General features: G+C 42.9%; 1 protein-coding gene across 7 annotated transcripts in view; it reads right to left on the bottom strand.

The window, feature by feature from the left end:
- The window catches only part of ASTN1 (astrotactin 1), a 307392-nt gene that overhangs the window by 97243 nt on the left and 193784 nt on the right, over positions 1 to 16365 (bottom strand). For all 7 annotated transcript variants that reach the window (XR_001737193.3, XR_921796.4, NM_001286164.2 and 4 more), the window contains exons 9-11: positions 10600 to 10674; positions 3782 to 3919; positions 3115 to 3265 (exon numbers count right to left, since the gene is read on the bottom strand). Coding sequence is in view for 5 of the 7 variants with exons in the window: in NM_001286164.2 (NP_001273093.1) it covers positions 3115 to 3265; positions 3782 to 3919; positions 10600 to 10674 (364 nt within the window). In the remaining 2 variants the exon portion in view is untranslated. The remainder of the gene's footprint in view (positions 1 to 3114; positions 3266 to 3781; positions 3920 to 10599; positions 10675 to 16365) is intronic.

Genomic DNA, 16365 nt, shown 5'->3' on the forward strand with positions numbered 1-16365 from the left:
TGGTAGTTTGTTACAGAGGCACTAAGATTATAAGTACTCTTGAAAGACCCTATAGGGCTCACTCAATAGACCAGAAAACTGCTGCTCTTGTATATCACCAGTAAGGAACACAGCTCTTACCTTGCACACTAAGAACAATGATTAAGAGCTGGTCATCAGCAGTGGGTAGCTGACCATGATGCTTGGAACCCTCATGAAATTTCAGCAATCCGTGGCTACTGGAGGGCCGTCTGGCTTGGAATGGTGTGACTGTGGTTTGTACAGGTCTGTGCCTTTCACAGATATTTGTTTCCTGTCCTCAGAGACTATATGAACAATAGGGCAATTAACTGTGTAGCAATTAACCCTGTGGGAGTCCATGCATAACTGAGAAACATGTCCTGCTTCCTAGAAAGAATGAAGGTTGAGCAGCCTATGCGGACCAAACAAGAATCCCACCTGTCAGGTTTGAATTCAGCCAGGAAAATATAAGGGTATATGCTCTGCCTCTGCCTACATCTCTTCTCCTTCCTTGGGTTCCTTAAGAGTCAGCGTGTTCTGAGTTTCTTATCTCTCTCCTTTCATAAAAATAGGCCTTTCTTGGGAAGCCTTTCAGTTCAGCACCCAGAGGACTAAAGGTAAACTTTACGTGGAGAGGAGGAAGGCGGGCCAATGCTCTGCAAACTGCAGGTGGTTCAGCTGATACATTTGTCCCTGGTCCACTTCCAGATGACAAGGGACCACTCTGCTGATATATCAGAGCTTTAGGACAGCACCGATGCTCACTGGAGATGGGTCAGGCTCAAGGTCAAGTTTCTGACCTTCTCAGTGGAGTCACAAGTGTCATGATGGGAATCAGCTCTCACCCATCCATCCTCCTGCCTCAGGAAGCCTATGCTTCACCAGCCAATGAGAAAAAGGAAATCGAGTGTGTCTGCCAATCCGCCTGCCCCTCCTTCTCCAGAAGCCACGTGGTCCAGTGGCTTCAAAGTGTTATGCTAATACCAAGTACTGGTATAACTGGGTGACTTTCTGCAGTGGCTCCAATTCTAAAATGCAGCAGCCTTATTGCAAATGCATATTCATCAGAACTATTCCTGCTAGCTCTGTCTCACAGACCAGTGTTAAAAGTACAAAAATCCATCAGCATAGCTACGTGCCAAGTAAAAGGGGCTAGGATCACCAACAGAAGGCATCTGACAGGCAGACCCTGAGGGGCTCAGGAAGGGACACAGAAGTGGCAAAAGAGGGAGAGCCTAACCCTGTGTTTGTCTGCTAATGCATGTGCATGCTCAAACCCATACTGCAGTGGCTACAGAGAGTAGGGAAGGAGGTGCACATATGAACACACAGTGTTTCAGCACTTAGAATGACGCCAGACAGTAATAAGAAATGAAAGGCTCAAATCTGGATGAAGAAATATAAGCTGAATAGCTTTTTTTAAAAGTGTCTCAGCTGGGAGCTCCATTAGATAGTGAAATTGTCTCCTGAGGATCCCAGCTGGGAGCACATTGCTTAAGACATTTGAGAATGGACCAGCCAAAGGGAGGGTGGCACTGTGGGACATCAACTTCCCCCTTGGCTGCCTTTGGGAGACGTGACCTAAAGAGCACTGTTCTTTGCATTTTCCTGACAGACCTTCCTGTTCTTCTTTCCCCTCCTTATCATGGACCCACAGGTTCTCCTCCTACTTGCCCCTCAGTGCTCTCTCTCTCTCCCTTTCTTTTTCTTCATTTTCTCTTCCTTCTCAGATGAATCAGCCTCCTGTCAACTGCTGCCTCATAGGTAAAAGTCTGGGGAGGCCTTAGGGCTGGGAGCACTCCACCCTGTACCAGGCACATATCCGTCTTTGATTGAGAGCAGCTCCCTGAACAGAACAGGTGCTCAGTGATGGGGAAGAGGGGAGAGGAAAGATGGCATCAGCGCAGCATCCTCACAGCTTGTCTCTGCTCTGGGTCCTCTCACAAAGCACAGCTGTCAGACTGGAAAGAGAGATGGGGCACCATATCCTCCCCAGAGCTGGAAGCTCCTGCTCCAACCGCCAATCCAGTAGAGCTACCAGTGAATCATCTCTTCCTCTCCTCTGCTGTCAATCTGAATGGCTTTCCTCCCTGCCTCCCCTGACCCATTCCCTCTCCTCTCTTGAGGACTACATCATTCTGCCTTCGAAGAAGGGAGGGATGGAAACAGACAATAGTGCTATGAGTATAAGAATGGCCCACACAAAGGAGCCAGCAGCTAAAGGCTTCATCTGCTCCTGCCTCCATTTCCCTGCATGGCGCAGTTCAGTCTTCACATCCATGATGTGGGAGATAGCTCAATCTACTGTAGCCCAAATTGTCTTACTAGTTAATAGTATCACATTTTTTTTAAGAGACAGGGTCTCACTCTGTTGCCCAGGTTGAAGTGCAGTGGCAAGATCATAGCTCATTGCAGCCTTGAACTCCTGGGCTCAAGGAATCCTTCTGCCTCAGCCTCCAGAGTAGGTAAGACTATCAGCATACACTGCCATGCCCAGCAAATTTATTCCATTTTTTTTTTGTAGAGACGAGGGTCTCACTATGTTGCCCAGGCTGGTCTCAAACTCCTGGCTGCAAGTGACTCTCTCATCTCGGCCTCCCAAAGCACTGGGATTACAGGTGTGAGTCAGCCACCATAAACAGAGTCCATAGGGCTGATAACGAAGTACTTTAGGAGCCCAGCTTTGAAGAAGCAGGTGCTCATTGCTGTGGTCACAGAGGGGACAAAGTTTTTTTTTTAATTTTTATTTTTTCACTACCATTCCTGGCATAACTTACTTCTTTCATCACTCTAGCTTTAGGTAGGTTTCTCCTAAAATTTTCTATTACATTTAGAATCAATGTCATACAATTAAGCAATTATTTAGTTCTTATCAACTAATTTTTTCTTGAATAGTTATAGTGCACATAGTAGGTACTCCATAACAACTTCTCGACTAACTGATTCATGATTACCTTCTCATCCTTATCAAGAGAAAATCCCTAATTTACACTAAATGGTGTTTACAACTGGGGATCACAGCACATTTTTCCCTATGTATCTGTATTGTGTCTTCCCCCGTGCCTTTCCTCCCCATCCTCAAACAGAAACTACTAGCTTGCAGGGCAGACCTACCACGCAACCAGTGGAGTCCAGCTTGCGATCTGAAATACAGCGGAAATTCTTACTGCAGCCCCCGTTATCTTTGCTGCAGTCGCGCACCGGCCCAAAGGAATCTAAGAGAACCTCCAGGCTGTCGAAGGAGGATGAAGTCATCAGCTCCTCTCTGTGGGGAGAAAGAGTGGGAAGCAGGGAGGAGTCAAGGAGATTCCAGATGCAACAAGTGGCATTACATTCCATGCTCCTATCTAGTCAACTGAATTGTGTCTCACTCTGTCTTATAAAAATTGAAGATCAACTATACTCCAAGCCTTGAACTAACAAACGATGGGCATTCTCCGTATCTAGGAAATGAGCCAAGGCTGTAACGCCTGGTCAAAGAAAGAGGTCTAAACTCAGGCAAGGAAATTAACATTTTATTGCTTGTCAGTCCTTAGTGTATGTGAGAAGTGCTTACAAACTCTAATTTTATGTCTTCTTCCAGTGAATGAGCCTTGGGATGTGCAATATTGACCCAGATAAAAAGCAGACCCTGGCACAACATAGGGGGAATTTGCAGGCTGCCTGCCAATTTTTCCTTTTAGCTTGTTGGGACTCCTTCCCCAGCACCTAAAACCTACAGGTAGTTTCTCATTCTGCTTCCCAAGCCAATTGCAGGCCTCAGTCCTGAAGCCAGACTCACCTGACCTCCACAGCATCCTCCATCACAGTCATGTCCGTCTTGCACTTTGCTGATGGATTGATGGCCAGTTCGGCTGGTGGAATCACAAAGCTCTTGCTGAGGGGCAACCACATGCCCTCCCCAAGAGTGTAGGTGAATCTGCAGGGACACCCAGTGCCAGGTGGTCATGACTGGGGGCATAACCACTCACCACTGGGGGATCTAGCATTCCATTACCAGTGCTTTCTTCTCACCCTTTGTAGTCCTTTTCAGAAAGACTGCCTTTTTATGGGTGCAATGACTAAGTTCTAAGGAGGCAGAGAGGCCAACCCTTGCTCACATGGCCAGGCAGCTGGAGAACTGATTATGGTGCCTACTCAGTAGTTGTTAGAAGTAGTTTTTATCAAGTCATAAAAAGCAAGTTCCAGCTTTCTTCGGATTTGAAGCTGGGCTTCCCCTGTCTTGAGTCAGATATAATTGGAAGCATTTTAATTGAAGAGAGATGCCAACCTCCCACCGTCCCCATCCCATGGCTGCACACCCACAGTGGTGGCAATGGCATCTCTCTGTGACTGGAGGAACCCTAACAAAGAAAATAAAGAAAGAAAGCACCCCTTTACAGCTTCTGTGTGATGGGAACAGAAATGACTGAAGCCAAGAGCCTCCAGGGAGGAGAGAAGAGCAGATGAACAAATGAACAAAACAGGCCCAGATTTATTCTCTGCACTCCTACCCACACCATTGGCTAAAGGTGCTAACCCTTGGGATACAGGGAAGATTTTTTTTTTATTCTTACAACAAGGACTAAAAGGAATAAAAGAATCAATCGGCATTTCAAGGGAGAGCTTAAGAAAACCATGAGAGATTATTTGTTTATTTATTCATTCATTTCATTTCAAAGGCATTCAAATGCTCTGTGTTCATAGTCAAAAATAGTCTGTGGGATGAAAGCCAGTGTGGATGGGATATGAGGAGGCTGTGGCAGTCTGGCATCCCCTCCCCACTTAATGTGCAGGGAGGAACAATGGAAGGATGCTTACAATTAAACAGAACCAAGCGCTGGCTCCATTAGCATGCTGCTCGTACAGCACCATTTCAGAATCCTGCTCCTTTCTCTTCCCATACACAACCCTCTCCCCTCCCCAGGTTGCCTGAAATTCTAGGAAACCAGATTGATGACTTCAGATCTTTTATTTAAAAAAAAAAAATGTAGCCCTCTCCAGTAAGCTGGCCACAGAGCAGACCCATTGACTAGGGCTCCTGAGTTAGAGAGCAGCCAAGCCACATGATTTCTGCCTACACCCTGAAAGAGAGTCCTGGGCCCTAGAGCAGCTGGAGAGGTGTGGGACATGTGCCAGCTTAACGCAGGGGATTTCCAGGGGCCAGGCAGAGCCACTGGTAGGAGGGAAGTGGCCAGGATATGGGGGATTTTCTCCCATTTCCACCCTGACTCTTGGGCACCTACTTCTCTGACCAGTTGGTGAACCTCTGCATTAAGCAGCATTGAAATGTCAGAGATGCTTCTGACTCTGAAAGAGTCACTCAATTCTCCCCACTCACAGGAGTATCAAGCAGTAGGTCTGTGCAGGGAGGTGCCTGCACCAGGGGAGGAAAGCTTGTTACTTAGGGGACAATAGAAGATCATCACTTCATTCTTCTGTGAAGCAGTTAGCAAAATTGGAAGCATGACAGCCCCTTCACTCACACACACATACACACACACACTCACAAACACAAACACACAGTTACACACTTCATCTGGTAAGATTAAGGAGCCCATTCAGGGCTGATTGCCTCAAGGTACCTGGAATCCGGGACTTAAGGATAATGTAGGTTGAAGAAAACAACCTCCAAGAATTTGTATAATTTCACTTTGCATTTCATAATGGACATCCTTGAGTTAGAAACATCATTATAACAGGCAGGCTGGAGTGGGGGCACCTCCGCTATTATACCATTTTAGAGAGAATGTCTACAAGTAGTTTGAATGGTACCAAGGAGGAGGCAGCTTATTGAACATAGAAATAAAATTTTGTTTTCTATTTTGATTTCAAAATTACAATATCTGCATTGATGCAGAGCAACAAATCTGTGACCTGTGGTTTACAATTTATGTAACTGATTTTAGGAAGCCGTTGGCAGTTCTGATACATTTCTGATGGTTAATTTTTCTTTTGAAAGACGAGGCTCCATGCCCATCCATCTCACAGTTTTCTCTTCCTCTTCTGAATACATTAATATTTCTAAGAGAAAAGCAAATCACATCTTCCACCAACTTAAACTGTTTATGGCACCCTGTACCTACAGAATAAAGTCCCAGCCTCCAAAGAGGTCATCCCTGATAGCTGATGGCTTCTTCTGCTTCTTTTTTCACCAAACCCTGGGTCACCCTCTGCCCTTACAATGAGACCTGACCATAGTTCCTAAAGTTGTCCCGATTTTCTCACCTCTTTGCTTTTGCTCCTAATAGTCCTTCTTTCTGGATTTTCTTCCCTCTCTTCTTTGCCTGACTTCTAATCATTTGCAGACTCAGGTAAGATCCTACCCCTTCCAGAAAGCTCCCCAGGGCCTTCACCCTCTACCCTCAGGCTGAACAAGGGGCTGAGCCTGTGCACCTGACTCAGAGCCCCTTGTTGCTCCTGAAATGATGAGTTGTGCCTGTCTCTTCAGGTATCCATCACCACTCAGAAGAATGTGCTCTCTTGGATGGCAGAGGACAGTTCTTGTCATTTTTGTATCCCCACTGCCTCACACAATTTCTGCCCCAAAGACGTCACTCAATAAATATTTATTGACCGATAAATAACGATATTTCATTAGGTTCTTTAGTTTGCACAAGTTTCTGGGGAACATAATCTCAATGTTCAAATTTAAAGGTGGAAGCAAAGGTGAAGATTATCCTCCATGTAGAGCAGGCTATAGGTTAAACTCTGGGTTTAAACGGATTTAAAGGTTAAGGTGGAAATGAATTTGATATTGTGAGAAACCTCCTATGTGCAGAGCAGCTCCTGAGACACTGCACTGGACCATGTTAATAAGAAAAGCAGCCTCTGGTAAGATCAAGGTGAAACCCTGTAGGGGAAGCAAAGTCAGGTGTTGGGTGAGACTAACCTTTGCAGAGAACTGCAAAGGGGCAGGTGCTCTGTAGCGTGGCCTCATTTATCCTTACAACAGTCCTCTGAAGCTGGTCATCTGGCCCCATTTTACCGATGTATCAACTAATTTTTAAGGCTAGTAACCTCTCCAAGGTCACCCTCTGTAAATGGGAAAATTGGGATTGGTCTGATTCTCAGGTATGGATCCCAGCAGCTTTCTAGTTCATGCTGGCTCAGGCCTATGGAATTCTAAAGTTTTCTTTCATCTGCAAAATCTACTGAGTAACTCCAAAAACCAAATATAGAACAAACTGTCAGAGAAAAGCTGTGTCCTAAAATCTCATCTGTCCCTCATTCATGCAGATTTGGCAGGAACAACTTCAAAAAGCTACCCAAGAGAAGCTGGGTGAGCATCTAGAATGCTTTCCCAACTCGGGCCTTCTCTGGAGACAGCTGGTGCTGACCAGTGCAGTTGATGGCTCAGCTGTGCACTGAGTCCTGCACACAGCCCTGTGTTCAACTAGAGCTAGAAATTCCTGTCCAGAGGCAAACACTCACCAGAGAGTGCTCTCACAGAACAAGGCTGTGGTCTCACCATGGCTTGCCATTAAATGGAATGTGAGGAAACGGATCAATTGCTCTTGACCTGGCATCTCCACGCTTCCTCAGAGCAGGCTATTCCAGGACAAGGAATTATTCCAAAGGATGCAGGCACTCACTTTGAGGGAAGGTCTCTGTGGGATCAATTTGGTCTGTACCAATCCCTACCCCCACAGTCTAGTGGAAAGGAGTGATCCTAGCCACAGTGGAAAGGACTTCTTGGACACTGGAATGGGTTTGGTGGGAAGATTCAGTCAGTAGGTTCAGGGTCCTCTTAGATCCTTTGAGTCTAGCTTTGGCCCTTCCCAAGTTATTTGGGATTGCAGATTATCAAGGTTAGGTTGAACATCAAGGTCTTTCCTTACTCTGGGTTCAAGTTTTTAGGAAATGCCTGAAATGATTATCTACATATATCTATTGAAGGCCTGCTGTGTTCAAAATTGTATGTTGGATGTTAAATATTTAAAGTGATATAAGACACCACTCCTTCCCTCAAGAAGAACATCATTTCATTGGGGAAAAATAGGCAGTTGAAAAATAAATATTAAACAAAATAATTGACAAATACATATTAAAATCAGTATATTATAGGCATTTGCAGGGGTAAAGTCATTGCGGATTGGTACAGTGAATTGGAGACATTTTAGAGCAACATTCTTCAACCTGGCTTCAGGTTAGAATCACCATGATGCTTTTAAAAAACACTCATGCCCTCGCCACACCTTCCAGAACTTATGAATTAATTAGTTTGCTCTGGGTATGATCATCGGTCATTTTTAAAGCACATTGGGGACTCTCATAGACAGCCAGGGTTGGAGACTGCTTTTTGGATGAGACTGTAAATGCTTGAAGTCAGAGACTATCTTGGTCATATTTGTTTGGTTATATGTGTAGCATCTGAAACAGTACCTTGAAATAGTAGGTGTTCAATAGATGCTGAGTTTGGTGGAGACTTGATTTGGACGATAAAAACTGGTAGCATTTATATTACGAGAAAAATGTGCATTCTTGCTAGAGGAAAGGGTATGAGCAAATGAGCAGAGTGGGAGATATTCAATTTATTGCAGATATTGGATCACTTAGAAAACAGATTCAACTAAGAACAAAAGGTTCTCTAGAAGAAGAGTGGCTCATTTAGAGGAAATTGTATGTTGGCATTCAATAGTAAAAAGATTTAAATGGAGGAATTTAAATTCTATTTCAGAGTCCAGAGAGATGTTCAGGAGCTTGGAATTCAACAGGACACTAAATCATGAGTGAGCATAGTAGCAAATAAGTAGCCAATTACAGTCATTGACCAGGTCATAGAATTTTTTAGAGTGGTCGTTGGTAGGTGGTTTACTCAGATGCCAGAGTGGTTTCTATTAAAGTTCCTGGTACCTAAAATAAACAGATTGTGACCCATTGCTTTCATTTGAGAGGCTAGTTATTTCCATGTTAGGGATAAAAATTCTTAATCACTTATTGATTAACCCACTGGCTCCTGAGATATCTGACCTCATGGGTCAAACCACACAACTGGCCCCCACTATAGTGCTTGGATAAAACATCCGGTTGGCAGCCAGCAACTTTGAAAAGAACATAAATGGTGCTTGTGGGGATAGAAACAGTTTTTGTGCAGGTTTTGCTTGAATAGCAATTTTATTAAGGCCCTTGTTTTTCAAACTGTTAGTTTCTGACTTTTAGGGAATGGGGAACTTATCCATGTCAATCAGCCAGATTCCACTAGGCTCCTCATCTGCCTTATCTTTATCACGCTTTGAAGTCCTGGAAGACCAGCAATAGGAAAAAGAGAAAAAGTCAGCCGAATGATAAATCCTTGTTGGAAAGTTTAATGCCCATGTCACAGTCCAAGGAATGGAGCTGACATCTCTTGCAGCACAAATCCTCAAAAGCGGCCTGTAGCCAACGCCATTAGCTTCCCTGGGACAGACACTCAGGAGAGAAAAGGACAAGGGAAAGTCCTTTGAGGAAGTGGTTCTGTGAATCTGCACTCTAGGTAGGAGCACGCCTAATAGAACACTGCTATGGCTAAGCTGAGTCCACCCCGAGCTACAGGAGGAGCAGTAGAAGCTTTGCAAAAGAGTGAGCTCTAGGAGGCAAATGCAGGAGCAAAAATTAACACCTAAGCCAGGAATGGCTGACAGGGATGGTCTAGGAAGGGGCTTGGAAAGGTGGCAGTGAAGAAGTGAGACTCAGCAAACTGTATGGATACAAGTCTTCCATTTGTCCTACGCTGCTCACCATTTGTCCAGAAAAGGCATGCAGTAGCTGAATTCATCAGCCGCTTATGCAGGACTACTCACTTCCTCTACTAGAGGACTTACTCAAGGAGGGACATGTATTCACGCCCATACTGTCAAGCCAAGCACTTAGAAGGAACTCAGCAAATGTATGTTAAGTGAATGATAGATTGACAAAATGAATGGATGGTAAGATCTTATTTTGGAAATAAACTGTTTCAGCTAAGGCCTAATATGAATTAAACTTTATGATAATTGAATCCTTCCTGGCTGGCACTCAAATTATTCCTCTGCTGTGGGCCTTTCTAATACGTGCTATTCCCAGGTATGTAGGTAGAAATTTGGGAGGGAGTAGAAGCATCCAATTTGATCAGCAAAGTAGTAGGTAAAAGAAAATAATAATGAGGTAGAGTTTAGAAAAGGGGAAGGCAGGGGCGGGAGAGATTCATTTTGAACAACTTAAGACTCTATGAGGAAGGTGCAAATTAGATGCAAAATGGAGAGGCAGAAACTGACATTAATTGCCTACTCTGTGCCAGTTTCTGTGCCAGGGACTTTCCCTGCATTATCTCATATATCCCTCACAATAACCCAGCCAGGCATGTAATATAGCCCCATTTAACAAATGCAGAGTCTGGTGGCTTCAAGAGGTTGAGTAAATTAGTGAGGTTCCCAGAGCTGGCAAAGAAGGAAGCCAGGGCCCAAACAGAATCTGTCTGACCTCCAAGTCCTCCATATTGTCCCTGGGCATGACTGGGGGCAAACACTTTTGTTAGCAGGTGGTCGTGACAACTCAAGGTGTTTCCTATTTTATACTTTACCAACTAGGAAAGTCAGTTCGGGGGAAGCGGAACACAGGGTTTGCAGACGTACATAAGCAAGTCCCTAGACAATCACTTACCTAAATATTTTATCAGAGGGCTGCTCTCCCAAAACCAGGTCAAAGCCTCGCTGAAATATTGTGTAAGGCCATGGCCTAAAAGAAGAAACATCATTCAATTAAATTCAACTCAACAAATACTCACTGAACACCCACTTCGTATCAGGCACAGTGCTAGGTGGTAGACACCCAGCCATCCAGGGCATAGCCTCTGCCCTCAAGAAGCTCACTAATATGAGCTCACACATGACCTTGAATCCTGGGACCTGACGAAGAACACGATAAATGTAAAAATCACTGAACTACTAGGAAAATGGAATTTAATAGCCATGACAATTGGAACTACATATAGAGTAAAACTATATGAAGATAGATGTCACATATTCATAATTCATGGTCCTTTAGATATAGATTCACAGAAACCTAGCTTGGGCTCCCTTAAGAAGAGCAGCGTGATTTCTTGGGAATCAGACAGTTCTGGATTCAAACCTCATTCTCACATTTGAATCAACTGTCTGACCATGGACCGATAATTTGCTTGCCAGTCCTAATTTCCTATAGGGTCAATAAATGATAGCTACCTAACAGACCATTGTGAAGATTAAGCAGACCTCTTAGGCCAAAGACTGCAGCTCATATAGGATATTCAACATGTTTTCTTTTCTTATTCAAAATGACAAGAGGATTCTGGGTCTTTGATAGGTTTCAGACATCTTCAAACGTTTTAATGTCACTCACTCAAACAGAAACAATTGAAATCGTGTTTGCAAATATTTCTTAACTGTAATTCCTTCTAGTGAACATCTAGGTATTGTCACATGTATTAGAAAGTAACAAGACTATTTCTTTTAAATAGTGTATATCTTTTCACTAACCCAGATCTCTAAGCCCATTATTTAATTATTAAAGCAAGACTTAGCAAAGACCAGATCTTGTGAGTACTGAGCTATTGCACACACTAGGTGGATTTAGCCCTTACACTTGTGCAACTTACAGTCTCATAATGAACCCAATTATTGACAATTTTACTGTAGACATTCCTTTTGTTTTCAAGGACTACAAAAAGTCAGGAGAATAAATTATAATTATTATTTGGGACTAATTCTAATACTAGGAGTTAATCTAGTGGTTTTCAATGCAGAGGGTATCACCCCATAGAGGGCATTTTGATAAATGTATGGCAGTTGTTCTTCAATGACACAATGACTGAAGGTCATTATTGCCCTTTAGAAGGTGGGGCTAGGATGGCTAAAATAGTGCATTGCTCAGGACAGTTCTGCAGAACAAAAATTTCCCCATGTCCTACAAGCTTTTGAATGTCATGCAAGACATTTATTTAAGTTTTGAAAACCTGCTTCTAATGGTTTGAGCATAGATGCTAATTCCATTGACACATAAGCACAAAGTACAGTTTCAATACACAGTGAATTTTCTAGGTCCATAACTACTTTATAATTTGAGCGGAGGTTACACATTGTATAATCACTTTGAATCACCAATACAGCACATGTGTATCAGTCTGTATTGCTCTCACGCATATCATAATACAGTATTGCATATTATATTATATATTATATTATGGTGAATCTGTACTAGGTACAAATGTCTATAAAATTTATTATTTATTTTATTGTAATGGAGCATTAAAATATTTATTGTAATTAGCATAGGAAGATATAATTATTAAATATTAACAGTTATATCATTATAAATTTTTCTTATTTCTCCCTTAATTAATATTGAGACACTATATTTGTTAAAATTTTGTAGATACAGGTTTTATTATTTATAAATTTTATTTACACATAATAAAAGGGGTTAAAAATATTTGTTACAAAATATTGATAGTGTTGGAAATCACCAACTTAACCCAACAAGCTAACAAATTAATTACCCAGAGTCTTTATTTGTTGCTAGGGAAAGCCATTGGAACTATATAAGGAAGTGGCTAGGATGAATGTGTTCCTTATTTAAGCTTACTATTCATAAATGCATTATTCCTGGGATTTAATTTGGAAATACCTAGAGGCAAGAATTGGCTCCATAAAGTATCCAAACAATGTACTGTGAATAACTCTTGCATCAAATAAAAGGCCCCTCCCCAGGTGTTTTTTATGTTTGTTCATCATTGTAGGTGAACCCACAGAGTAGGGTTTGAATCTGATTCTTTTTTGCTGAACAGAAAAAGGTGGTTTATGCACAGCTAAAAATATCTGTTAATTCAAGAAAAAGTCTAGAAATCATGAGAAAAAAATATTCCCTATAATCCCAGACACCTAGAAAGGGCAGTAAAAAAAGAGGGACGTGCAATTTTATTTATCTCTATTTTGGGTAGGATCATATTTTATTTACTGTCAGTTTAACATTTTAAATAACATACATTTTGCCTTCCAGCCATTTCTAGCACTCAAAACTGATACAATGTGTAATTATAGTTAATTGTTGGCATAGTTTCTAGGTTGTTTGAAAATATATTTTCAGGAGCCAAATGACTGGCATTAAATACTGTGTGAACAATTAGCTATGCAGAATGACACAAATAAATCTGTATTCAAGCCAAAGCCAAAGTTAAGGAAGCAATGAGCTTGGACATATTTATTAAGCACACATCCACTGTTGCTAAGTAGTTTAGGTCAAGGAGACCTCCTGCTCTTGAGGGGCCTGAAAATTAAGAAAATCAACTCAAATTGGAAGGATGTAGAGGAGTGCAGCGTAGACCCCACCCTGATCACATTTAGAGGCAGGAGTGCAGTGTAGACCCCACCCTGATCACATTTAGAGGCAGGAGTGTAGTGTAGACCCCATCCTGATCACATTTAGAGGCAGGAGTGTAGTGTAGACCCCATCCTGATCACATTTAAAGGCAGCAGGGCACAGTGGTTTCAGGACATGGATTCTGGAGTTAGCCTGCCTATTTCAAATGCCAGCTTAGCCACCAATCACTGTGTGACTTTGGGCAAGTTCCTTCATCATTCTGTAACCCCATATCCTCATCTGTAAAATGAGGCAGATGGTAATAACTGTATTTATTTGACAAAGTTGTTATGAGGAGGAACTAGCTAATGTAATTAAAGTGCCTAGAACAGTGCGTGGCATTTAGTGAGTGCCACACATAGAATCATTTGTTAAATAAGTTAAATTGATCAATTACATGCATCAAATATAAATACTATAAGGAGTGTTTCCCAAATTTCAATAGAGGAAGATGTGTCTTGCCCTAAGGTGCAAATGCAATGCCAACGCCAGGCTTTAACTCAGATTATAGATGTCTTCACATAGGCTGGAGAGGAGGCAACATGAGTATGGAAAGGCCAAAGCCCCGACACCCCACCTCCCACCTCCCACTTCCCACCCAGTGGTCACTTCACTGGGCAACTCACTCTACAGCATTGACATTAAACACAAAGAGCAGGGAAGTGCATATTGTGAAATGGCAAGAGAAGTCAGCGAGTAGCAAAATTGCACCAGCAAAGGAATAAAGGGGAATTTACCTAATTTCTTCCCTCTAGTCCGGAATGATCTGTCAGAGAGATGAGAAATCTTACTTGATTTATTTAGCAAATATTTGTGGAGGCCTATTGTGTGTGAACTGTGATATTAGGCAACAGGAATTGGGATAAAGAGATTCCTGCCCTCAAAGGAATCTAAGGTCTTTGTGAAGAAACACATATAGACCCAGACAAACCACTGAGAATGTTAAAAGGGAAGAGGAAGGGCTTTTTAGGAAATAAGCTAAGTGGTAATGGCTGGTGGTAGAGTTGCCATCCTGGGTGCAGGGAAGGCTGGTGTTGGCAGTGCATGGAATGACAGTGGAGGGTCTGGCAGGGGAGCTTGGTGCACACAGGTAGAAAGCCATAGATGGCCATACAGGAAAAGGCGGGGCAAAGTAATGAAGAGCTGGACGTAAAAGCACTCATAACGCTTTGAAACGGACTTACTTGAGACCCACTGAAAGAGGAAAGGCCTCTGTATTTGGGCTTTTTGAGTGCAAGTGAAAGTAAGAAACCCCCCCGCCTCCCCGCCAAAAAAAGCCTATCATGAAATCTTGTACCCAGGTTTAAATGGAAGTTGCCTCTGAGATGCCTGTAAGCAGGGTCTAAAGGCCCTTCTATGTGTCTCTCGCCTCCCTTTGCTCTGTTTCTCAGACTATGGACTTCATTCCAAACAGCTAAGACACATGGTGGAGATGGCCCCTAGCCGTATGGGCCACAGAGGAAACACTTTGTCTCCTCATTAGGAAAAAAAATAATCTGTGGGAGAACTGCCTGACATATTTTGAGTCAGATGAGCAACCTGGACCAATCTCTCGGCCGGGTAAGCAGAGGCTTCTAAAGAGACAGCAACTCCTATCTGGTTTTCTGGGCTGGAGCTAGAAAGGAGAGTGAGTGGCAAGCCTCAGCTTCTGTCTGCTTGTAATGGTAAGAGTGTTGCCTCAATTAGAAGTGAGCAGCATTATTGAGCAGACTGTGCCAATATTCATTTTGTGGAAAGGGCACTAGGCCATCGAGGAGCCCATGGATGGTGTCAGGTCAGATGTGGGGCAGGAGGTTGAACCCTGCCATCGGAAGGAACTTTCAGTCTCTTGTATCCACTTTGATATGTGGTCTCCAATATTCTCTCAATGCAGGGCAAACCACTCACATCTTTTTAGTCAGAATAGAGCATTTTTGTTTGTTTGTTTGTTTGTTTAGATCTTCATTCTAACAAATAAAGACCCTGAAGATTGTCGTCCCATGTGGGCAGCTACAGGTGGCTTCCATTCAGGCACATCACAGGAAGCACCGCAGACCCATGCCCATGCAGGAACATAGCCTGTGCCACAGAGGAGCCCATTGTAACGGATGCACAGCAGCCAGCAGGCACACATGGAAACGCGTATGCTGAGAACTAGTGGTAATCTTTTATTTGCCTTTTCTTTCTTCCTCCTGTCTCACACAATACCCACAGTCTATTCAGAGTCTTCTCTAAGCACTGGCAATTTTCAAGCTTTTGGTTTCTCTCCCAATTCTCTCTCCTCCCCTTTAGGACATATCCACTTTTGCAGGGATTTTTCCCTTAGTCTAGGTGATGTGTTGGGCCAGAGGTTGGCTGTGGCCTTGATTTGACTTGATGCTTGTCCTTCATGCTGATAGCTTGGGCATTTCTTTCACTCTGTAACCTAGTGAGTGAGTAAAGACCCTGCGTGACCAGCCTGACTGGATGCTCCCTTCATATGGGCTACCTCAGTGCAGCAAGGGACTACTCTTGCCTTAACAAGGGTCCTTTAAATTCACTTTTTGATTAAGTGCTAGTCCCAGCTTTCCACCTAACTGTGGCACTTGGAAACAGAGCTCAGAAGCTGTTGGCCAGCATGTCTGGTGATAGGATTCCTTGTATAAGACTTGCCATCCAGGGAAAGGGAGAAGAAATAGAGATAGGTAGGTAGGTAGGTAGGTAGGTAGGTAGGTAGATAGATAGATAGATAGACAGACAGACAGACAGATAGATAGATAAAAGAAAGCAAGAAAGAAGGAAAGTAGGGAGATAAGCAGAGTGAGAGAGAATATATGTATGTATATATGTATCTGTGTATATATGAATGTGGGTATGGGTGTGTGTGTGTGTGTGTGTGTGTGTGTGTATTCTCTTTGATATAGTCCAGCATAGATGGGATATTTCATTCAGAAGCAGTGATGAGTAGGGCATTTCATTAAGGGCTTTAAGAAACTATGAGCTTTTTCCGGACTTACATATTATTCTACCTGTCATAAAAGGAACATTTTACAAATGGAAATATTTGTCCACAGT

Source organism: Homo sapiens, chromosome 1 (assembly GCF_000001405.40).
Source record: "Homo sapiens chromosome 1, GRCh38.p14 Primary Assembly".
NCBI lineage: Eukaryota > Metazoa > Chordata > Mammalia > Primates > Hominidae > Homo > Homo sapiens.